At 48.6% G+C, this 19,508-nt stretch overlaps 1 protein-coding gene and 2 pseudogenes across 3 annotated transcripts in view, besides 5 other annotated features; 1 reads left to right on the top strand and 2 right to left on the bottom strand.

Annotated features, from left to right (window-relative positions):
• Window positions 1,570-2,434: an enhancer, noted in NCBI's record as "NANOG-H3K27ac-H3K4me1 hESC enhancer chr17:74349963-74350827 (GRCh37/hg19 assembly coordinates)". NCBI's record gives its function as "activates a minimal SCP1, AML or CMV promoter by ChIP-STARR-seq in naive H9 embryonic stem cells {active_cell/tissue: H9 hESC(naive)}" and the evidence as "EXISTENCE:reporter gene assay evidence [ECO:0000049][PMID:30033119]".
• Window positions 2,054-2,323: an enhancer, noted in NCBI's record as "active region_12805". NCBI's record gives its function as "activates an Ori minimal core promoter by ATAC-STARR-seq in GM12878 lymphoblastoid cells {active_cell/tissue: GM12878}" and the evidence as "EXISTENCE:reporter gene assay evidence [ECO:0000049][PMID:35858748]".
• Window positions 2,118-19,508, top strand: part of PRPSAP1 (phosphoribosyl pyrophosphate synthetase associated protein 1) — a 44,721-nt gene continuing 27,330 nt past the window's right edge. The window contains exons 1-3 of one of the 3 annotated variants that reach the window (NM_001366236.2): window positions 2,118-2,199; window positions 7,735-7,787; window positions 11,579-11,645. Coding sequence is in view for 1 of the 3 variants with exons in the window: in NM_002766.3 (NP_002757.2) it covers window positions 2,613-2,782; window positions 7,735-7,787; window positions 11,579-11,645 (290 nt within the window). In the remaining 2 variants the exon portion in view is untranslated. Of the gene's footprint in view, window positions 2,200-2,399; window positions 2,783-7,734; window positions 7,788-11,578; window positions 11,646-19,508 lie in introns of those variants that run through there. The other 2 variants (NM_002766.3, NM_001330503.2) reach the window with 2 other exon arrangements.
• Window positions 2,604-2,923: a silencer, noted in NCBI's record as "silent region_9012". NCBI's record gives its function as "represses an Ori minimal core promoter by ATAC-STARR-seq in GM12878 lymphoblastoid cells {active_cell/tissue: GM12878}" and the evidence as "EXISTENCE:reporter gene assay evidence [ECO:0000049][PMID:35858748]".
• Window positions 3,284-3,343: an enhancer, noted in NCBI's record as "active region_12804". NCBI's record gives its function as "activates an Ori minimal core promoter by ATAC-STARR-seq in GM12878 lymphoblastoid cells {active_cell/tissue: GM12878}" and the evidence as "EXISTENCE:reporter gene assay evidence [ECO:0000049][PMID:35858748]".
• Window positions 4,883-5,430: an enhancer, noted in NCBI's record as "H3K4me1 hESC enhancer chr17:74346967-74347514 (GRCh37/hg19 assembly coordinates)". NCBI's record gives its function as "activates a minimal SCP1, AML or CMV promoter by ChIP-STARR-seq in primed H9 embryonic stem cells {active_cell/tissue: H9 hESC(primed)}" and the evidence as "EXISTENCE:reporter gene assay evidence [ECO:0000049][PMID:30033119]".
• Window positions 10,035-10,587, bottom strand: HMGN2P43 (high mobility group nucleosomal binding domain 2 pseudogene 43; annotated as a pseudogene).
• On the bottom strand, window positions 18,897-19,000 carry RNU6-24P (RNA, U6 small nuclear 24, pseudogene; annotated as a pseudogene).

The following is a 19,508-nucleotide window of genomic DNA, read 5'->3' as shown; positions in this document are numbered from 1 at the left end:
GGCTAATTGTGTGTGTGTGTGTGTGTGTGTGTGTGTGTGTGTGTATGAGAGAGAGATGGAGTCTTGCTGTGTTGCCCAGGATGGAGTGCAGTGGCCTGATCTCAGCTCACTGCAACCTCCGCCTCCCGAGCTCAAGCGGTTCTCCTGCCTCAGCCTCTTGAGTAGGTGGGATTACAGGTGTGTGCCACCGCGCCACCACATCTGGCTGATTTTTTTTTTTTTTTTTTGAGACAGAGTCGCGCCCTCGCCCGGTCGTCCAGGCTGGAGTTCAGTGGCACAATGTCAGCTCACTGCAAGCTCCGCCTCCCGGGTTCACGCCATTCTCCTGCCTCAGCCTCCCGAGTAGCTGGGACTACAGGCGCCCGCCACTGCGCCCGGCTAATTTTTTGTATTTTTAGTAGAGATGGGGTTTCACCGTGTTAGCCAGGATGGTCTCGATCTCCTGACCTTGTGATCCGCCCGCCTCAGCCTCTCAAAGTGCTGGGATTACAGGCGTGAGCCACCGCGCCCGGCCACATCTGGCTAATTTTTTGTATTATTAGTAGAGACAGGGTTTCACCATGTTGGCCAGGCTGGTATCGAATTCCTGACCTCGTGATCCACCCACCATAGCCTCCCAAAGTGCTGGGATTACAGGCATGAGCCACCGTGCCCAGCCTAATTTTTGCATTTTTAGTAGAGACAGTGTTTTGCCACCTTGGCCAGGCTTGTCTCAAACTCCTGACCTCAGGTGATCCACCCACCTCAGCCTCCCAAAGTGCTGGGATTAAAGGAGTGAGCCACCACGCTCAGCCAACACCTGGCTAATTTTTGTATTTTTAGTACAGATTGGGTTTCGCCATGTTGCCCAGGCTGGTCTTGAACTCCTGACCTCAAACTATCATCCGCCTCGGCCTCCCAAAGTGCTGGGATTACAGGCATGAGCTACTGCACCTATCCCATTCCCCCTTTTTTTTAAGAAGGTAACAAGGTTTTTGTCAGGGTCTGTGAGCTGGACATGTGTGCAGTGGTTAAATAATTTGGCCTAGGCTGTGCACCCACTGTCCTTTTTTTTTTTTTTTTTTTTTCTAGAGAGCTATTGGAATAGGGGCCAGGCTGCTGCAGGCTCAGGGCAGCTCAACTTCCAAATCCTGTAGCTTCAGACTTGTGGTCCTTCACGACATGCTGAGTCACAATCTACTGCTCCCTCAAGCCCAATGTCACCACAAGCAGAGTCTCTAAAGGACATTCTCAGAAGATGGTACTGTCAATGTGAGAGGCACCTCTCCTCCCCTCGAGTTCTGGTGCAGCTGATAACTAGAGATCTCAAATGCTTCCCTGGGCTTTACTTTCTACTTCAACAAGTACTGATTGCGGGCCTCTGGAGCCCACACACTGCCCTATACACTGGGTAACACGGAGCACTCAGGAATACACGATCTTGGCGGGGCGTGATGGCTGAGGCCTGTAATGTCGGCATTTTGAATGACTGAGGTAGGAGGATGGCTTGAGCCCGGGAGGTAGAGGCTGCAGTGAGCCGTGATCGCGCCACTGCACTCCAGCCTGGGCGGCAGAGGGAGACCCTATTTCAAAAAATAAATAAATAATAATAAAATTAAAAAAAAAAAAAAGGAACTCACGATGTGGCCGTAAAATGGGTTACATCCTAGTTAGGAAAATAGATGTTTGCAAAGGTACATAAATATGCAAGCATCAAAACAATAACAACAACAACAAAAATTTAAAAAATGCAAGCATCTACGTGTGGCACAGTCCCGCGGGCCGGGCGGCTTACTGTGGTTGAGGTCACCAGAAAGACTGTGGAACAGACGCATCGCGAGTGGGTCTCGGAGGGGTGGCGCATATGGAAAGAGGAGAAGGAGGGCTTTTTTGATTGAAAGCGAATACCGGCAAGAGGGCCTTTGGCACGTTCAGGGAACCTTGCCTTACACGCAGACACAGGGTTGGGGATCTGTTCGGAAACGCCTGAAAGATCAGGCTCAGGAGAAGACCACTTTTTGGCCGCTTCAGTACTGCGGTCAACCAGCTGGAAAGAACCCCCGCCCTCTACTTTTCAAATTAATCTCCGGCCGGCGCACGCGCCTCGTGGGGCGGGCGCTGTGCTACCATAGACATGCAGAGCTAGATCGTATACCTCCTCGGAGGCGGACATGTTGGGTCCTGGCCAAAAAGTTGGAAACACCTGGGGCCACTACCGAGGTAGGCTGCTCCTCCCAAGAAAGTGAGACCGAAAGAGCTCCCGTGGAAGCGGTCAAAGCAGGGGCGGGGCGAACCTGTGACATGCCCCTCGGAAGAACAGGCTTTTAGAGAGTCGCCAGGCTCCCTGCCCTCATCCGAGATGGCGGCCTGAGGGCGCTCTAGCCGACGCTCTTCGGATGCCCGGAGGGGGCGGTGGCCTTGCCTCTGGCTCTGAGGCGGCGGCGCCGGGCGCTGCGAAGGCTCGGCCGCTGTAGTCAGTGGTGTGGGGTGCGCAAGGGCACGGACCTCGGAGCTCTCCCCGCTTGCGCCGAGTTTCTCAGCGCCTTCCCCACCCAAACCGGGGTCTCGCAGTCGGAAGCACTCAGAGTGCAGCCCCGCGCGGGGCCGGTCGTAACCGCGCCGCGGGCCGGACGATGCCCAAGAAGCTGCTGCTGTTGCCCCCGCCCTCCGCGTCCTCGGCTTTCCGCGTCCCGCGCGCCCGCCCCGTTCCCCCGCCGGCCATGAACGCCGCTCGCACCGGCTACCGAGTCTTCTCGGCCAACTCCACGGCCGCCTGCACGGAGCTGGCCAAGCGCATCACAGAGTAAGGGGGCGGTGGGAGGGCCGGGCCGGGGGCGGCGGCGCCTAGCTCTCCTTCGCGCCCGGAGGGACCCGCTCCCCTCCACCCGCCCCACCTCCTGCACCTGGGGCGGGAGGCGCGGGCCTTCCCAGCCGGACAAAGCTTGGAGGTGACGGATACCGCCCCCCGCTCCCCGGTTTTGCAGCTGGGAGGCTTGGGGCGGACTCTCGGTGACCTCAGCCCCCCGCCCCGTGACTGGGTCCGCGGCCTGCCTGCCTTTCGTCTCCGCAGTCCCACACCCCGGGGCGGGCCGAGCTTTCTGGAGCCCCGGAGTGCGTGTCTTGGGGAAAGGGGCTCAGGGCTTGGCTTCCTTTCCCACGGCTGGAGTTGACCTGGGAATCTGACCGCCGCCACTCTCAAGTCTCACTGCAGTGAGACCCGCGGGCGTGGTTGTGAGTTGGGGGATCCGACGCGGCAGGTGCGGTCGCAGAGCAAAGGTGTGGGGACTGGCAGTGCGAAGAAGGCAATTCCAGGGAGGCAGATGGGCCGGAGCTGGTGGTAGAAATGACAGGCCTGACCCTGCTTTGTAAATCAGCTTGGGATAAGATCAGTCATTTGTGTCTTTAACCCAACCAAGCCCCTGGTCTTAAGTCGCCTTTGGGGTCTGACAGCTCTGAGATGCCCTCCCAGCCTTGCCACTTACTAGCTCTGTGTCAGTGGGCAAGAGACTTGATTTCCCTGAACCTCATCTGTGAAATGGGCATGGTTGAGAATATTGTATGATCGGGATAATGTAGAAGTAGTATCTGGTTCTAGCAGAGTAGGGGCTCATAGTGGCCCTCTGAATAGTTGTTTACTAAGTGGCCTCTTTTCTTTTTCTTTTTCTTTTCTTTTTTTTTTTTTTTTTTTTTTTGAGACGGAGTCTCGCTCTGTCACCCAGGCTGGAGTGCAGTGGCGAGATCTCGGCTCACTGCAAGCTCCGCCTCCCGGGTTCACGCCATTGTCCTGCCCCAGCCTCCCAAGTAGCTGGGACTACAGGCACCCGCCACCACACCCGGCTCATTTTTTGTATTTTTAGTAGAGACTGGGTTTCACCGTGTTAGCCAGGATGGTTTCGATCTTCTGACCTCGTGATCCGCCCGCCTCGGCCTCCCAAAGTGCTGGGATTACAGGCTTCAGCCACCGCGCCCGGTGAAATGGCCTCTTTTCTAGTTGGCTCTTTTGGAGAATCCCAGAGCTCTGATATAAAGGAGGAGCCTTATATGCCCTTTCTACATACACTTGTTAGAAATCTAAGACATAAAATGAATAGCTCGTCTTTTAATATTTAAAGCCATTTTCACATTTTAAACAGTTTTCATAGAGTTACTTCGTTACTTTTTTAGGGTTGACAAATGATTGCAGGGATATATCTTAAACTTCTGGGGGGAAATGTAGAAGAAAGGGAAAACTTTAGTCATTTTTTTTTCAGCTCTGCTTGTTTTTTTTTTTAATAGTTGGAGTTTTGGAGAGTGGAAGAATGTTAAAAAAACAAATCAATCCTTTTGCAGTCTACTACCTAGTTTCTATTTCTAACCCCTGATTGTTTGTCTTTCTTTCTGAGGCCAACGAAAACACTGACTTTAAACGAAGCTTCTGTGTGTATCTAGTGGTTCAGATTTACCCTACCTGACCTTGAGGGAGAGCAGAGGGGAGCAGGGCACATTTTAAAAGTCAGTGAGGGTTTTTTTTGTTTGTTTGTTTTAGATTCTTTCCTGGCAAATTCCCGAAAGATTTTGAATTACTATAAATGATACATATTCATAAATACTTCCCTTACCTGTTTTACTTGTCGCTCAGTAAGATTTTGTTTTATCTTATCTGTTTTATTTATTTTGAGACAGTCTTGTGTCACCCAGGCTGGAGTGCAGTGGTGCCATCTCGGCTTACTGCAACCTCCACGTCCCAAGTTCAAGCGATTCTCCTGCCTCAGCCTCGAAAGTAGCTGGGATCACAGATGCCCGACACCACACCTGGCTAGTTTTTTGTTTTTTGTTTTTTGTTTTGAGACGGAGTCTCGCTGTCGCCCAGGCTGGAGTGCAGTGGCGCGATCTCGGCTCACTGCAGGCTACGCCCCCAGGGTTCACGCCATTCTCCTGCCTCAGCCTTCCGAGTAGCTGGGACTACAGGCCCCCGCCACCTCGCACAGCTAATTTTTTGTATTTTTAGTAGAGACGGGTTTCACTGTGTTAGCCAGGTTGGTCTCAATCTCCTGACCTCGTGATCCACTCGCCTCGGCCTCCCAAAGTGCTGGGATTACAGGCGTGAGCCACCGCGCCCGGCCACACCTGGCTAGTTTTTGTATTTTTAGTAGAGATGGGTTTCACCACGTTGGCCAGGCTGGTCTCAAACTCCTGACCTCAGACGATCTGGGATTATAGGCGTGAGCTACTGCGCCCGGCCCACCTGGAGTATTTTTAAAAATTGTTATATACATAACATAAAGTTTACCTTTTTAACCGTTTTTTGTTTGTTTGTTTGTTTTTGAGACGAAGTTTTGCTCTTGTTGCCCAGGCTGGAGTGCAATAGAGCCATCTTGGCTCACCCACAACCTCCGCCTCCCGAGTTCAAGTGATTCTCCTGCCTCAGCCTCCCAAGTAGCTGGGATTACAGGCTGCACCACCACACCCCGCTAATTTTGTGTTTTTAGTAGAGACGGGGTTTCTCCATGTTGGTCAGGCTGGTCTCAAACTCCCAACTTCAGGTGATCCACCTACCTTGGCCTCCCGAAGTGCCGCCTTTACAGGCATGAGCCACTGTGCCTGGCCTACCTTTTTAACCATTTTTAAGTGTACACTTCAGTGGCTTTAACTACATTCACAGTGTTGCACAACCATCACCACTATTCATTTCCAGAACTTTTCATCATCCCAAACAGAAACTCTGTACCCATTAAATACTAAGTCCCCATTCCCTGGTAGCCTCCATTCTACTTTGTCTCTATGAATTGCCTATTCTTGGGACTTCATACAAATAGAATCATAGCGTTTGTCTGTGTCTGGCTTATTTTCCTCAGCATACCTTGTCCAAGGCTCCCTCATGTCATAGCACGTACCAGAATTTATTCTTTTTTTTTTTTTGAGACGGAATCTCACTCTGTCGCACAGGCTGGAGTGCAGTGGCACGATCTCTGCTCACTGTAAGCTCCGCCCCCTGGGTTCACGCCATTCCCCTGCCTCAGCCTCCCGAGTAGCTGGGACTACAGGCGCCCTCCACCACGCCCGGCTAATTTTTTGTATTTTTAGTAGAGATGGGGTTTCACCGTGTTAGCCAGGGTGGTCTCGATCTCCTGACCTCGTGATCCGCCCGCCTCGGCCTCCCAAAGTGCTGGGATTACAGGCATGAGCCACTGCGCCTGGCTGCAGAATTTATTCTTTTTTTAAGGCCAAATAATATTCCATTGTATGTGTATACCTGGCTGGAGTTTTGTTGTTTTTTTTTTTTGAGATAAAGTCACCCAGGCTGGAGTGCAGTGGCACAATCTTGGCTCACTGCAGCCCCCGCCTCCCAGGTTCAAGTGATTCTCGTGCCTCAGCTCCCAAGTAACTGGGATTACAGGTGCCCACCACCACACCCAGCTAATTTTTGTGTTTTTAGTAGAGATGGGGTTTTTCCATGTTGCCCAGGCGGGTCTCGAACTCCTGGCCTCAAGTGTTCTGCCCACCTTGGCCTCCCAAAATGCTGAGATTACAAGCATGAACCACTGCGCCTGGCCTGGCTGGAGATGTTAATTTTATTTTTTTTATTATTATTTTTTGAGATGGAGTTTCGCTCCTGTTGCCGAGGCTGGAGTGCGATGGTGTGATCTCGGCTCACGGCAACCTCTGCCTCCTGGATTCTGGCAATTCTCCTGTCTCAGCCTCCTGAGTAGCTGGGATTATAGACGCTCGCCACCACACCCAGCTAATTTTTGTATTTTTAGTAGAGATGGGGTTTTATTATATTAGTTAGGCTGGTCTCGAACTCCTGACCTCAGGTGATCCGCCCACCTCAGCTTCCCAAAGTGCTGGGATTGCAGACGTGAGCCACCGCACCCGGCCTGGAATATTTTTAAATAGATTATCTTACATCATATCATTTCACTTGTAAAAAGAGTAATGCTTACTAATCAGGACTTAAAACCTCACACTACTATTAATTCCTTAATATTATGTAGTATCTAGTCTTTGTCCATATTTCTCTGATTATTTTTTAAAATGGCTTTTTTTTTTTTTGAGACGGAGTTTTGCTCTTGTTACCCAGGCGGGAGTGCAATGGCGCGATCTCGGCTCACCACAACCTCCGCCTCCCGGGTTCAAGCAATTCTCCTGCCTCAGCCTCCCTAGTAGCTGAGATTACAGGCATGCTCCACCATGCCCAGCTGATTTTGTATTTTAGACGGGGTTTCTCCATGTTGGTCAGGCTGGTCTCAAACTCCCGACCTCAGGTGATCCGCCCGCCTTGGCCTCCCAAAGTGCTGGGATTACAGGCATCAGCCACCACGCCTGGCCAAAAATGGCTTTTTACACTTGGTTTATTCTAATTAGGATCCAAACAAGATCCACACCACATTTGGTCAGAGTGCTGAAGCCTCTTTCCTTCTCTATGCTTTTGATAATTGAGGCATTTATCTCTGGTGTGTGTTATTGAAATCATTGCTTGTAACCAAGTATTTGGAAGTGATTTTCCAAGAAAATTACTATTCAAAGAACAACGCGCACCAGACATTAACCATGGGTTGTGAGCTCTGTCTGGTAAAGCAGTATGTTACAACGTGGTGAGCTGCTTATGGAGTGACAGCAGAATTTTAGTTTAATGAATTAGATTTTCTGAATTATTTTTTGGAAAGAATGGCAGCTTAATTATTTGAGTCTTTTTATTAGACATATGCATATGAACTGGAATTTTTTTAAAAAGAGTAATCTTAATTTCCCTTTTTTGTTCTTTTTGATCTATAGGCGCCTTGGTGCTGAATTGGGGAAGTCTGTTGTATATCAAGAGACCAATGGAGGTAAGTTAAAATTATTTCTTTTTTTTAAAATTATTTTTTATTTATTTAGTTTTTTTGAGACAGAGCCTCACTCTGTCGCCCAGGCTGGAGTGCAGTGGCATGATCTTGGCTCACTGCAACCTCTGCCTCCCAGGTTCAAGCAATTCTCCTGCCTCAGCCTGCTGAGTAGCTGGGATTACAGACGCCCGCCACCACACCCGGCTAATTTTTGTATTTTTAGTAGAGATGGGGTTTCACCCTGTTGGCCAGGCTGGTCTCAAACTCCTGACCTCAGGGGACCCTATTGCCTCGGCCTCCCAAAGTGCTAGGATTACAGGCATGACCACTGTGCCCAGCCTTTATTTATTTATTTATTTATTTATTTATTTTTATTAAGATGGGGTCTCACTATGTTGGCCAGGCTGGTCTTGAACTTCTGAGCTCAAGCAGTCTTCCCACCGCAGCTTCCCAAAGTGCTGGGATTACAGGCGTGAGCCACCGCACTCGGCTTCCACCACGTTATTTCTAAAATGCAAATATTTTTTCTTACTACTGCTTCCTTACTCCTACCCTGTAGGCTGGGGTCCAGTCTTTTTAGCAATCACATGGGGCCCTTTGGGAATCCAGATTCTACCCCTTTACCTGCCTCATCTTTGATCCACCCATTACCACATCTTGTGTGCTCTGACTTTGGAATACATCTTATATCTGACCCTTTCTCACAACCTCTGCTGCTCCCACTTAAGTCCAGCCTGCCGTTTGCTGCTTGCTAGACACCTTCCAAAACAGACGCCATGGCCTCCCCGTGGCCACTCCTGCCCTGCCACGGTTTTCTTCACACAGTAGCCAGCAGTCTTTTTAAAACAAGTAGATGAAACCCTTCCCAACCTTAAATCTTCCAGTGGCTTTCCTGTCACTGCTAGAATAAATTCCAGACTCTTCAGCGAGTAAGAAATGAAATCCAGAGTCCTGCAAGTCCTGGCCCCTTGGCTCCCTGACCTCCTGTCTCTCTCTTTCCCCTCACTCTGTCTGCTTTCTTTTTTTTTTTTTTTTTTTTTTTTTTTTGACGGAGTCTTGCTCTGTCACCCAGGCTGGAGTGCAGTGGCATGATCTTGGCTCACTGCAACCTCCACCTCCCAGGTTCAAGCAATCCTCTTGCCTCAGCCTCCCAAGTAGCTGGGATTACAGGCATACGCCACCAAACCCGGCTAATTTTGTATTTTTAGCAGAGACGGGGGTTTTGCCATGTTGGTCAGGCTGGTCTTGAACTCCTGACCTCAGGTGATCCACCCGTCTTGGCCTCCCAAAGTGTTGGGATTACAGGCATGAGCCACCGCGCCCGGCCCACTCTGTCTGCTTTCTAAGTGGACTAACTGCCTGCCCCTCTGCTTGGCACACTCGGATCCCACATCTTCCCATGTTCCCAAACCCCCTTCTGCGCTGCTCGTTCTGGATTGCAGTGAGGCCCTTTTTTCCAGCCCCATTGTTCTTTCTCCTTCGTCATGGCTAGCGTCTCTGGCATATTGGGCCCGGAGGGTTTGCTGGCCTTGTTGTTGTATCATCTCTCCTGGGTCAGTCTTTGTCCCTTCTTCCAAGTCCTGCATTTTGGGGTTCCCAGTACAGTTCCTGACATGGAGGAGGCTTCAGCATTTGTTGAAAAAATAATAAGGATGTCGCCCGGGCTGGAGTGCAGTGGTGCAATCTCAGCTTACTGCAGCCTCTGCCTCCCAGGTTCGAGCAATTCTCCTGCCTCAGCCTCCCAAAGTGCTGGGATTACAGGCGGAGCCACCGCGCCCGGCCAAACTCCCTTTTTCAGTGCACAACCAAAAATCAGAAAGCCACTGTAAAACCCAGTGAACATTTAGCATGTTGTTTAACAACTTTTCACAAGCTGACCCTGACTTTCCGGAAGTGAAATGAATATGGCAGAGTTTATCTGAAGATCCACAGTCTAGAAACGGAACTACTGCTCTTTTGAGGGGCGCCATCTCAGTGGCATCACTGGAAGGTCCAGATTGCCTGCCACACTGGTAATCAATTATGGGGGGGTCAGGTGCCAACAGATGTCTGGCTTTAAGGGATTTAAGTCCATGCTGAAAGGTGGAAAGGGAGAAGAGGACATAGAAACAAATTTGTCTTTTCAGAGCACAAGGCTTTTGTGTGCTGAGGTGGCCATGTGTGTCAAAGTCAGGGAGCCCCTCTTCCTGGGAGCCGAGAGGAAGTCTCTCAAAACTAGAAGGGAAAGGTGCTTTCCCCACATCAATCCAGCTTCGGAGACATTCTATTCATGACATATGCTCCTTTCCCCAGAACAACAATGAAGCGTTCTGTGTGCTAACAACATAGCTTAGAAAACAAAAATTCTGCGTTTTTATAAAACTTGATAAAAAATAGTATTTCAAACTGTACAGTCACCAGAAGTACACAGTTATCCAAAATGCACACGCTTCCCTCAGCATCTCCAGCAGGTGCCTGGTGTGTTCAGGCATCTCCACTTCCCATAGAGTCATTCCCCTCCTCGCCAGTGTCAGCTTTTTCCTTTTTCCCTTGGGTACCTTCTCTCCCTTCTTTGCAGTGGCCTTTTTAGGCCTGGGCTCTGGCTTTGGAGGGAGGAGCAGGTTTAGCAGACAGCCTCACAGATCTTCTCTGTGGTTCGTCTTTCACCTTGGCCTCATCTCCCTTAGCATCCCCTTCAGCCTTTCTCTTGGGCATGGTGGCAACGAAAGCAGCCGGACGTAGGCACTGGGAGCGGGATGCAGTGGCGGTGCACGGACTGCGCTCAGTCGGGGGTCATTCTCGCTTCCTCTTCTTCATACTGCTCCAAGACTTATTCTTTTGCCCCAGATAAAATGTTGGTTTAGATTAATCTTTACTCCCTCCAAATGTTTCTAGCTGTTGCATCATGAGTGCTTTGCTTTTCTGCTTTTTTTTTTTTTTTTTCTCCAGACAAGGTCTCTGTTGTCCAGGCTGAAGTGCAGTGGCACAGTTTCAGCTCACACTGCAGCCATGACCTTCCCTGGCTCAGGTGATCCTCCCACTGGGACTACAGGCACTTGTCACCATGTCCAGCTAATTATTTTTTTGAGATAGAATCTCGCTGTGTCACCCAGACTGGAGTGCAGTGGCGCGATCACGGCTCACTGCAAGCTCTGCCTCCCAGGTTCAAGTGATTCTTCTGCCTCAGCCTCCTGAGTAGCTGGGATTATAGTTGTGCGCCACCATGCCTGGCTAATTTTTGTATTTTTAGTAGAGACAGGGTTTCACCATATTGGCCGGGCTGGTCTCGAAGAACTCTTTTTTTTTTTTTTTTTTAATGAGACGGAATCTTGCTCTGTCACCCAGGCTGGAGTGCAGTGGCGCGATCTCGGCTCACTGCAAGCTCTGCCTCCCAGGTTCACGCCATTCTCCTGCCTCAGCCTCCCGAGTAGCTGGGACTACAGGCACCCGCCACCACGCCCGGCTAATTTTTTGTGTTTTTAGTAGAGACGGGGTTTCACTGTGTTAGCCAGGATGGTCTCGATCTCCTGACCTCGTGATCTGCCCACCTCGGCCTCCCAAAGTGCTGGGATTACAGGCGTGAGCCACCGCGCCCAGCTAATTCTTGTATTTTTTGTAGAGACAGGATTTTGTCATGTTGCCTAGGCTGTTCTTGAACTCTGGTGCTCAAGTGATCTGCTTTCCTCAGCCCTCCTAAAGTGCTAGGATTACAGGCATGTGCCACCGCGCCCGGCATGAAGTACTTTTGTTTTTCTTTTTTCTCCTTTTTAACATAGGAGCTTTTCTTAAAACTTCAGAACATTTTTATTTTTCAGAAACAAGAGTTGAAATAAAAGAATCTGTTCGTGGCCAAGATATTTTCATTATACAGACAATACCCAGGTAAGAGGACTGACTACTTTATCTCTTTTCTGTAAAAACCTTAACAATATAATTGATTATCTTTTCATATGAACAACAACTTAGTGTTTTTAAAAGTTATATATTCAGGCCGGGCGTGTGGCTCACGCCTGTTATGCCAACACTTTGGGAGGCCGAGGTGGGCGGATCACGAGGTCAGGAGTTCGAGACCAGCCTGACCAATATGTTGAAACCCTGTCTCTGTTAAAAATACAGAAATTGCTGGCTGGGCACGATGGCTCACGCCTGTAATCCCAGCACTTTGGGAGGCCGAGGCGGGCGGATCACGAGGTCAGGAGATCGAGACCATCCTGGCTAACATGGTGAAACCCCGTCTCCACTAAAAAATACAAAAAAATTAGCCGGGCGTGGTGGCGGGCACCTATAGTCCCAGCTACTTAGGAGGCTGAGATAGGAGAAAGGCGTGAACCCAGGAGGCAGAGCTTGCAGTGAGCCGAGATCGCGCCACTGCACTCCAGCCTGGGCTACAGAGCAAGACTCCATCTCAAAAAAAAACAAAATAAATGAATAAAAAACAAAAGTTAGCTGGGCATGGTGGCATGCGCCTGTAGTCCAGCTGTTTGAGAGGCTAAGGCAGGAGAAGTGCTTGAACCCAGGAGGCAGAGGTGAGCTGAGATCGCGCCACTGCACTCTAGCCTGGGCGACAGAGTGAGACTGTCTCACCAAAGAAAAAAAAAAGTTATACATTCGTTTGCATGTTAAACTAAATGCTTCCCCAAATACAATTACTGTCTTCTGGAATTCCTACCATTTGTCACACTGTACTGTTACCTGTTTACTTCTCTCCAGGCTTTTTTTGGGGACAGTCTCACTCTGTCACCCCGGCTGGAGTGCAGTGGCACAGTCTTGGCTCACTGCAGCCTCTACCTCCTGGGTTCAAGTGATTCTCCTGCCTCAGCCTCCCTAGTAGGTGGGATTACAGGTGCCCACCACCATGCCCAGTTAATTTTTGTATTTTTAGTAGAGACAGGGTTTCACTATGTTGGCCAGGCTGGTCTTGAACTCCTGACCTCAAGTGATCCATGCACCTCAGCCTCCCAAAGTTTTGGGATTTCAGGCGTGAGCCACCACTCCCCAAGCTTTAAACTCCTCAAGGACAAAGGGTTTTCCCATGGTTTGCACTGACCCCAGGCCAGTGTCCGTCAGCTCAGCTCTGCTGAAAAGCTTCTAGTTGTTACGTGTGGTGCATAAACTGCTCCTGGTTCATACCCATCAAGAGAGGTTTTTGCACTGCATTTTATCTTGCACCGTGGCCTGTTTCTAGCCTATCTCTGTTTCAGAGATCGTCGCCCTTGCTTCCCTCAGGGCAGGGGGCTGACACCTGGGGAATCCTGGCCTGCTTGAGTGAGAACGTTCATGCTTCTATGGGACTATCTCCTTTCTCATCGCCTGACAGGGAGTGGGCCATTACACCATCTGTGTCTCTGAAAAATCCAGACCTTCATGTCCTGATCAGTGTACATTCCCCAGACCATATTAGTAATAAGAATGGCACTGAGTGCTACCAGTGTGCTGGATGCTTTATATGTTTCGTTTTTGTTTGTTTTGGTTTTTTGAGACGGAGTCTCACTCTGTTGCCCAGGCTGGAGTGCAGTGGTGTGATCTTGGCTCACTGCAGCCTCCACCTCCCGGGTTCAAGTGATTCTACCTCAGCCTCCCGAGTATCTGGGATTACAGGTGCCTGCCACCATGCCCGGGTAATTTTTTTGTATTTTTAGTAGTGATGGGGTTTTACCATGTTGGCCAGGCTGGTCTTGAACTCCTGGCCTCAAGTGATCCGCCTGCCTCAGCCTCCTAAAGTGCTGGCTGGGATTATAGGCGTGAGCCACTGCGCCCGGCCCTATTCAGTCTTCTTTAGTTTGGAGCAGTTCCTCATGGCCTTTATTTGACTTTCTTTTTTTTTTTTTTTAATTTGAGACAGGGTCTTGCTGTGTCACTCATGCAGGAATGCAGTGACACGATCATGGCTCACTGCAGCCTTAAGCTCCTGAACTCAAAGCGATCCTCCCACCTCAGCCTCCTTAGTAGCTGGGACCATAGGTGTGTGCCACCATCCTGGGCTAATTTTTTGTATTTTTAGTAGAGATGAGGTTTTGCCATGTTGCCCAGGCTGGTCTTGAACTCCTGGACTAAGAAGTGATCCACCCGCCTCAGCCTCCCAAAGTGCTGGGATTACAGACATGAACCACCACACCCGGCCTTGACTTTGAAAACTTTGACACATTTGAAGACTGACATTTTGCCGATTACTTTGTCGAATGTCCCTCAATTTGGGTTTCACCGTGATGGCTCTTTCACTATGATGAGATTCAGGTACCTCGGAAGGAAGCTGTGTTCCTGTTGTCTTGTCTTCCTGCTGCTTCATGACATCTTGTGTGGATGCATCGGTTTATTCAGTCTCTTGTGTGTCAGTTTGTTTCTAGTCTTATGCTGATACAATAGAGGCTGCTGTGAGCCTCATCGTATATACATCATATTGTCGGTGTTTCAGGTGTATCTGTAGGAAGATCCTAAGAAATTTCTGGTTGTGAGGGTCCATGCCCTGTGGTATTGAGGGAAGGGGCTGCGTTGCCCTCATTGAGGATATACTAATTCACATTTTCTCCAACAGTTTTGGTTTTGTATTGTTTGCCTCCTGGTGACTGGAGTCTTTTTTGCCTGGTGGTTTTGTTTGACTCTCCATCTTTTATTTTTAGACGGAGTCTCACTCTGTCGCCCAGGCTGGGGTGCAGTGGCGCAATCTTGGCTCACTGCAAGCTCCGCCTCCCGAGTTCACGCCATTCTCCTGCCTCAGCCTCCCGAGTAGCTGGGACTACAGGCGCCCACCACCACGCCCGGCTAATTTTTTGTATTTTTAGTAGAGACGGGGTTTCACCATGTTAGCCAGGATGGTCTCGATCTCCTAACCTCGTGATCCGCCTGCCTCGGCCTCCCAAAGTGCTGGGATTATAGGCGTGAGCCACGGTGCCCAGCCATTGGGGTCTAATTCTAAAAGCATGATTGATTGGTGAAGTCTCTTTACTACCCTAATTGAATTTGTGATAACGAAAGAATTTGTCATGTAAAGAGTTATCTTTAAGAAATCTTGTTGGCCAGGTACAGTGACTCACACCTGTAATCCCAGGACTTTGAGACACCAAGGCAGGAGGATCACTTGAGTCCAAGATGGCTTGGGAACAGCCTGGGCAACATAGTGAGACTCCATCTCTACAAATAAAATTTGAAAATTAGCCAGGCGTGGTGGTGTGCACCTGTAGTCTGAGCTACTCGGGTGGTTGAGTTGGGAGGATTGCTTGAGCCTGGGTGGTCGAGGCTACAGTGAGCTGTGATTACACCACTCTACTCTAACCTGGGCAACAGAGCCAGATCTTATCTCAAAAAAAAAAAAAAAAAAAAACAAAAAAAAGTCAAATTGTTAACACTAATTCGTTGGTCTGCATTGTAATCTGGAATTTGAGTTGGACTTCTCCAGGAAAAGACTGAACTGAGTTGGTGCATGATCAGAGCAGTTCTCCTCTGGCACATGAGCAGCTGTGCTCTTGGCATCTTTGTTTTGTTACATGTATTTAGGGATCATCTATGAGTCAGGGGAGGAGCTAAGACGTTATAACCTTCTCACGGCAGAGACCCCATTTTGTTAGATAGTCCAGCAGTCTCCAACCTTTTTGGCACCAGGGACCAGTTTTGTGAAAGACAGTCCCCCCCTACCCCCCGCTTTTTTTTTTTTTTGAGATGGAGTTTCGTTCTTGTTGCCCAGGCTGGAGTGCAATGGCGCGATCTCGGTTCACTGCAAACCCCACCACAACCCCCGCCTCCCAGGTTCAAGCAATTCTCCTGCCTCAGCCTCCCGAGTAGCTGGGACTACAGGCATGTGCCACTACGCCCGGCTAATTTTGTATTTTTAGTAGTGACGGGGTTTCTCCATGTTGGTCAGGCTGGTCTCGAACTCCCAACCTCAAGTGATCTGCCCGCCTCGGCCTCCCAAAGTGCTGGCATTACAGGCGCGAGCCACCGTGCGAGGCCGTTCATGGTTATTTCAAACTAGTCGAGCATAGAAACAGCATATTGTTAGTGTCCTTTGTGATACGAAGTTGAATTTTATAAAATTCTTGGCTTTGATATCACATGGTAACCAAGAGTGCTCAATATAAGTATTTAACACGTGCAATCTAGAGTGATGCTGGGGGTAGTAAAGACTGAACTTGACAAACAAAGGATCATCAGTGTGCAAGTGTCTTCCAGGGAAGGGACAAAAGAAGCATGAAGAAATGACTTAGTTAATAGCCAATTGGGAAACACTTACCGTTTTTCTCACTTGTATCTTGAGTATTAGGAAATTGGACCATGGTCAGGTGTGGTGGCTCATGCCTTTAATCCTAGTACTTTGGGAGACCAAGGTGAGAGGATCACTTGAGGCCAGGAGTTCAAGACCAGCCTGGGCAATATACTAAGACCCTGTCTCTATTCTTTTTTTTTTTTTTTTTTTGAGACAAGGCCTTGCTCTGTCACACAGGCTGGAGTGCAGTGGCACGATCTCGGCTCACTGCAGCCTCCACCTCCCAGGCTCAAGTGATTCTCCTGTCTCAGCACCCACCGTCTTACCCTCCCAAGTAGCTGGGGCTACAGGCACATGCCACCATGCATGGCTAATTTTGTATTTTTAGTAGAGACAGGGTTTTGCCATGTTGCCCAGGCTGGTCTTGAACTCCTGAGCTCAGCTGATCTGCTTGCCCCGGCCTCCCGAGGTGCTTGGATTACATGCATGAGGCACTGTGCCCAGCTTTTATTTAAAAGAAAAAAGAAATTTTGGCCAAAGGAAGAAGTAGGAAGCACTTCATAGAGTTGTAGCAGAGTCTTGTACAATAACAATGACAATTTTACATAAGTCAACATGGAAAGGCACCTTCCCTGTTGAAAAAGGCACATAGGTATAAATGGGTACTTCTGAAAACCAGAACCCTCTCCTGAAGATGGTGAAGTTTCTTTATGTGTATTTGGTGTTGAGATAAAAGCCGCAAGTCTCTTCCCAGTGGTTCAGTTTAAGAGCATCAAAGCAAAAATATCATCACCTGGCATTTTCTCTGTCTCTTAAGCTGATAGGGATGGAAGAAGAAAGGAAAAATTTGGAAAAAAGACAGGTTGGATGTGTTGTTTTGTGTGGGTGTGCAGCCCATAAAGAAGGTTATTAGGTTTGTCACAATAAACTGGTTCTTTTTGTTGTTTTTTTGAGACGGAGGCTTGCTGTGTTGCCCAGGCTGGAGTGCAGTGGCGTGATCTCGGCTCACTGCAACCTCTGCCTCCCAGGTTCAAGCAATTCTCCTGCCTCAGCCTCCTGAGTAGCTGGGATTATAGGCGTGTGCCACCACAGCCAGCTGATTTTTGTATTTTTAGTAGAGACGGGGTTTCACAGTGTTGACCAGAATGGTCTCAAACTCCTGACCTCAGGTGATCCACCCGCCTTGGCCTCCCAAAGTGCTGAGATTATAGACGTGAGCCACCGTGCCCAGTCAATAAACTAGTTTTTGTAGTGCTTGAGTACTGGATACTTTAGTACCAACTAAAGAACACAGATAATTTAATTTAATTTAATTTTTTTTTTGAGACGAGTTTCTTTCTTGTTGCCCAGGCTGGAGTGCAGTGGTGTGACCTTGGCTCACTGCAACCTCCACTTTCCAGGTTCAAGTGATTCTCCTGCCTGAGCCTCCCGAGTAGCTGGGATTACTGGCATGTACCACCATGCCTGGCTAATTTTGTATTTTTAGTAGAGATGGGGTTTTACCATGTTGGCCAGGCTGGTTTTGAACCCCTGACCTCAGGTGATCCATCCACCTCGGCCTCCCAAAGTCCTGGGATTACAGGCATGAGCCACCATGCCTGGCCTAATTTTTTATTTTATTTTATATTTTATATTTTATTTTATTTATTTTTTGAGACGGAGTCTTGCTGTGTTGCCCAGGTTGGAGTGCAGTGGCACAATCTCGGCTTACTGCAACTTCTGCCTCCTGGGTTCAAGCAATTCTCCTGTCTCAGCTTCCTGAGTAGCTGGGATTACAGGTGCACACCACCACACCCAGCTAATTTTTGTATTTTTAGTAGAGATGGGGTTTCTCCATGTTGCCTAGGCTGGTCTCGAACTCCTGACCTTAGGTGATTCACCTGCCTCAGCCTCCCAGAATGTTAGGATTACAGGCATGAGCCACTGTGCCCGACCTGGTTTTTTAATATTATCTGCGGTTACATAGATGAAGGAATATCTTTTACAGGTTTTTCTGTTGTTGGGAGGAAGGGGGCATTGCCTAAAGTAATAAGGCTAATTTTAGGCAAACAGACCAAAGCTTAGACATTAAAATAAGCTTAGTTGCCTTCAGAGCTGTTGTTCTAAAATCACATAGATACCTTTTTTTGGTGCTGTTTTTGCTTGGAATAGCTTTGGAACTACTGCTTCCAAACTTGCAGCATATTTCTTTTGACTGTTCTAATAATAGCAACCTTTTGGTCGTTGAGGATAGGTTTAATTTTTGGAAATGGCAAAAAGCCATTCAGAACAAAATGATTATTTTGGGTAATTGAACTGTGCGATACTCAGAGATTTTCCAGATATACCAAGCAATGGAACTAAGTAAAATATGAAGCTTATGAAGTATATTTTAAAGGTTAATTTTTATGTTTATGTACAAGTTCTAGTGTGTTGATGTAAAGTAAGCAGACTCATTAAAATAACATTTACAGCTGGGCACGGTGGCTCACACCTGTAATCCCAGCACTTTGGGAGGCCGAGGCAGGTGGATCAGTTGGTCAGGAGTTTGAGACCAGACTAGCCAACATGGTGAAACCCCGTCTCTACTAAAAATACAAAAAATTAACCAGGCATGGTGGCAGGTGCCTGTAATCCCAGATATTCGGAAGGCTGAGGTGGGAGAATCGATTGAACCCGGAAGGCAGAGGTTGCAGTGAGCCAAGATGGTGCTACTGCACTCTCGCCTTCCAGCCTGGGTGACAGAGTGACTCAGTCTCAAAACAACAACAAAAAATTCCCAGCTGCTGCAGATGATTAATTGTTACAGTTGGGAGCAGGGTAAATTCTCCCCCATTACTTCCAGCTGTGGTGTGGTTTCTCTTTTTGCGAGCCTGGCTAGTTTAATGAATGCGTATACCATGCCTGTTTCCTCATCTCAGGTTAGTTTGTTGTTGTTGTTGTTGTTGTTGTTTTCCAATATGGAACACTTCACGAATTTGCGTGTCATCCTTGCACAGGGGCCATGCTAATCTTCTCTGTATCATTCCAATTTTAGTATATGTGCTGCTGAAGAGAGCACACCTCAGGTTAGTTTTTGCCTGTCCAAAATGCTAGAGCAGTAAGGGCTGGACTTAATATAGGATGTGGTTTTCTTAGGGGAAAGAAAAGTAGTTGGTTGTCTGGGCATGATGGCTCAAGCTGTACTCCCAGCACTTTGGGAGGCCAAGGCGGGAGGATTGCCTGAGCCCAGGAGTACAAGACCAGCTGGGCAACATGGTGAGACCTTTCTCTATTTAAAAAAAAGAAAGAAAAGTAGTTGGTAAAACAATTAAGAATGTCCTACTTAGAGATAAAGACTACAAGAGCTAGCCAGGGTGTACTTGCAACATTCTTAGGGAACAGATAAAGCAGAGACTGCCAGCCGATTTCCCTTCGCCCTGCTAGTTCACAAAGTAACTGCCTGGTGTCCAATTTGTCCGGTATCTCTCAGTGAATGGGTAAAGCCAATGTGACAAAGCCCCTTTTGTCACCTTTCTGACCAATAAGGGGTGAGGTATGGAGCTTTCTTTAGCGTTGGGCTGGAGGAT

The sequence above is a fragment of the Homo sapiens genome, chromosome 17, assembly GCF_000001405.40.
Source record: "Homo sapiens chromosome 17, GRCh38.p14 Primary Assembly".
In the NCBI taxonomy this organism is placed as follows: domain Eukaryota; kingdom Metazoa; phylum Chordata; class Mammalia; order Primates; family Hominidae; genus Homo; species Homo sapiens.
This window is presented reverse-complemented; position numbering and strand designations above follow the sequence as displayed.